Below are 4,050 nucleotides of genomic sequence, written 5' to 3'. Positions count from 1 at the left end.
GCTGCTTTTATTGTTCTTGTTATTATTAGTACTCTTTGACTTTTCATATAATATACATATATCACTTGGACTTTAAAAAACAAATTAGTTTTTAAAAAGAGATGAAAATTAGAGTGATCTTGAAGTATTATCATTTTATATCTGATAAGTTAGCAAAACGTTTTAGCAAGGTGACACTAATGTTTGTGAAGTTGCTGTGAAATGCATACATCATTGGATATGGCACTCTATATAGCCCTCTCAGAAACCATGTAGAAATAGAAATAGAAAATAGAAAAATAGAAAAATGTTTGTAACCTTTGACCAAAAGAACCCCACACTTGGGAATATCTCCTAAGGAAAATTCTATGAAGCAAAGAGCCATGTGGACATAAATGGTCACAGCAGTTATCTCCATAATAGCCCCAAACATGAAAAAAGCCCAGTGTTCAACATGATGGGAAAGACTTAGGATATTAAGGTACATTGAGTTGATAGGACATTATGTATGGATTAAAAAACAATTGTGAAGCCCGCATGAAAACACAGAAATGTTTTCTGATAGCATATTAAGTGAAGGCCAGAAAATAAAGAGGCAGAAGCAGCCTGATTTTTAAGATAATGTGGGAACGTGAGTTAAAAAGTAACATGACCATGTGCAAAAGAATGAAGTTGGACCCTTACTTCATGCCATATACAAAAATTAACTCCAAATGGATTAAAGATCCAATTGTAAGATCTAAAACTATAAAACTCTTAGAAAATAAAATACGTATAAATCTTTGTGGCCTTTTATTAGGCAATAGCGTTTTAGATATAACACCAAAAGCAAAAGCAACAAAAGAAAAAACAGACAAACTTAATTTCATCAAAATGAAAAACTTGTGCTTCAAAGGGCACCATGAAGACAAACTCTCAGAAGTTGAGAACAACTTAGTAGATTACGTATCTGATAAGAGACTAGTATCTAGAATATATAAAAAATGGTTAAAATAATAAAAAGACAAACTAAAATTAAAAATTAAAATGAAAATGAATTTTTTAAAAGGGGCAAGAGAACTGAACAGACATTTCCCCAAAGAAGACATATAAATGGCCAATAAACACATGAAAAGATGTATCAGGGAAATGCAAATTAAAACTACACTGAGGTATCACATCATATCCACTAGGATGACCATAATCAAAATGACCACAGACAATAAGAAGTGTTGGTAATGATGTGGAGAAACTGGAATTCTCATACACTGCTGGTGGGAATGTAAAATGGTGAAGCCACTTTGGAAAATAGTCTGGCAGTTCCTTAAACTTCATGGCCCAGCAATTCTACCCCTAGGTATATTGCCAAAGAAATAAAAACATACATCCACACAAAAATCTTTATTAATGTTCATAGAAGTATTATTTATAACTATAGTAAAAAAGTAGAAATAACCCAAATGTCCATCAATTAATAAAATGGATAAATAAAATGTGGCCTATCCATATAATGGAGGATTATTTGGAAATAAAAAGGAAAGAAAACATTATGCTAAGTGAAAGGAGCCAGACAATAAGATGACAAATATTATATTTGATTCCATCTACATGAAATGTCCAGAATAGGCAGATCTACAGAGACAGATGGCAGATTAGTGATTGCCTAGGGCTGGAGATTAGGCAAGAATTGGGGAGGGATGACTGCCAGAGGGTCTGAGATTTCTTTTTGGGATGATGAAAATGTTCTAAAATTGACTGTGGGGATGGTTGTATAAATTTGTGAATATATTAAAAACCATGGAATTGTATATATTAAGTAGGTTCTTATATGGTATGCTCAGTTGTTACAAAAGAAAGTAATATAAAAAAATGTAGTGTACTGCTTGAAAGAGTTGAACTGCTTCTTATTACATGTAAAAGTTATATTATACCAGTTTCTCAGTTAGGACAAAAATTGGTCTTTGAACTTAAATATTAGCAGATTTGCAATGAATGCACGGTAGCAGCTCGCATGCTATACCTGGTCAAAATCTATTTCCTAGAAACAACACAATTAAAATCCAAAGTTCCTGAATAGGTCTCTAGTGTTCTCCATATTTCTTCCTTCCTTCCTAATTACTAATGTGTTCAGTAATCACTCCTGTGCTAGTGATGTGATGCAGGAATCTAAGAAGGTGAAATCAGAAGAAACTGAAGCATTTCACAATAGTAGTTAGATAACAGCAAAACACTTTAGTAATTACAAAGGAAACATTCCAGACAAAAAGGTATCTGTCCTTTGCCCTCAGGGCACCCACTGGAAAGAAGGCAGGTCTCTCACACCCTCTGGAAAAACAGACAAATGACTTACATTTGGTGTTCACCAAGGCGGCAGTCCATATAACTAGTTTCTAGGGATACTGCATGGAAACAGGGCTCCGTGGTCAACTGGGTGTGACAAGAGTGCCTATGACTTCCTCTCTCAGACAGTCACAGTGCACATTAGCACAGCAAAGGTTCTGAGAAGTCCAAAGCAAAGATACCTGTTTTTTTTTGTTTATTCCAGATTTTTTGAGCACAGAAGCTTTTCCCTTCACATAACATCAAAGAATTCTACTTGAAACAGTTTGATGGAAAACCAAACCATTACCCCAGAATTACAGATCTGCTCTCACCCTTTGTCCTCACCCCATATGGATACTATGGAGACAAGGACAAAACAGTAGTGAGCAATTAATTATTATTTAATGACCTGGGGCTTCCAGGGAGGCTCTTGCTCTCTAATGTGCCTGTAATGTGTCAATAACAACAGAGTTCCAAGTTGTCCTTTGGAGAGACCGCATCTGCCCTTTCAGCAAAAAATGCATTGTGTAGATAGTTGGTGACTCAGAGCTGAAGTGTGTGGTTCCAAAGCCCCAGGGTTTGAATATTTTAATATTAGGAATGCAAGAAAAGATTTCAGGAAAAGACAGAACAGCTTCTAGAATTCTGATCATATTTCCCCATTGATGCCTTTTATGGCTTCTAGTTCCTATCAAGTGAGAGCTTACATAACATGACTTAAGTCAGATTTGGTCAGCTGAGAGAAGGAGGCGACGTCAACGATTATGGAAATAAACTAAATTTCAAGAGCTCTAGGGGAGCACCTTGCTTTTTTTCCTCTCTTAAAGGAATCTGTGCCAAATTAAGGATGCTAAGCACAAAACAGTACATTTAGTCAATAACATCGGCAACCCAGTTGGCCAGCTAGAAATCAAGAAATCATCCAGGGATCCTCCACCCTCGCAGCCTTCCACAGACTTCTCAGACCTGTTCCCTCCCTCCATCCTGATCCCTGCTGTTCTGGGGGCCTCGCCATCTCTTTCCACAATTAATGGGGTCAGCCAGCCTGCCACTCTAGCATCACCCTGGCCACATGTGTCACTCTCCTCCACAGGGCCCCTCAAAGCTTCTTCTCTACCCACAAGGTCCTCCAAGACCACCTTGGCTGACAGCCCCAATACAAGCTCTGCCAGGAAGGCTAAACTTACAAAGCTTACGTGACCTTCCTTAAGTCATATGGATGGCTCTAGGACCAGAATCTTGGTCATCTCAGGCCAAATCAGGAGCCGATATGTAGAAACAAACTTAGCAACTACAGGAGCTCATGTTTGAGAATTGAAACTCCTGCAAGTGATAAATTTAGTCACAACTGTGTGCTGCCATGACACTCGGTGGTCACTGCTTCAACACAAATCATCCTTAAAATCTGACATTCAATGAAAAAAAATGAGGTGGTCAGCAATGGTAAATGACAGCAGTGATACAACATCCTGGTTTAAAATGTAATCCCAAAGGCCAGAAGAGGCATAAATCATACATTCCTAGGTAATCTGAATTCATCTTTTGGGAACATTGTATTACACTCAATGCACTGTACTGGCCTTCTGTGACTATGATGTCAAAAATCCAGGGACGTGATGTGCAAATTAATTTAGAGATTTTGAATATATTGACATCTGCAAAAAGAGTATTTCTACTCTGAAAATTAGAATTGGAAAATTTTACTGCCAAGTGTAATGTTCCATTTGGAATAATTTCAGAGATTATTAAAAAGAGGGGAGAAAGTAACTA

The 4,050-nt window shown here is 37.0% G+C and overlaps 1 protein-coding gene across 6 annotated transcripts in view; it reads right to left on the bottom strand.

Annotated features, from left to right (window-relative positions):
• LARS2 (leucyl-tRNA synthetase 2, mitochondrial) overlaps positions 1–4,050 on the bottom strand; it is a 160,832-nt gene that overhangs the window by 66,713 nt on the left and 90,069 nt on the right. The window lies entirely within an intron of this gene.

This window comes from Homo sapiens, chromosome 3 (assembly GCF_000001405.40).
Source record: "Homo sapiens chromosome 3, GRCh38.p14 Primary Assembly".
In the NCBI taxonomy this organism is placed as follows: Eukaryota; Metazoa; Chordata; class Mammalia; order Primates; family Hominidae; genus Homo; species Homo sapiens.
This window is presented reverse-complemented; position numbering and strand designations above follow the sequence as displayed.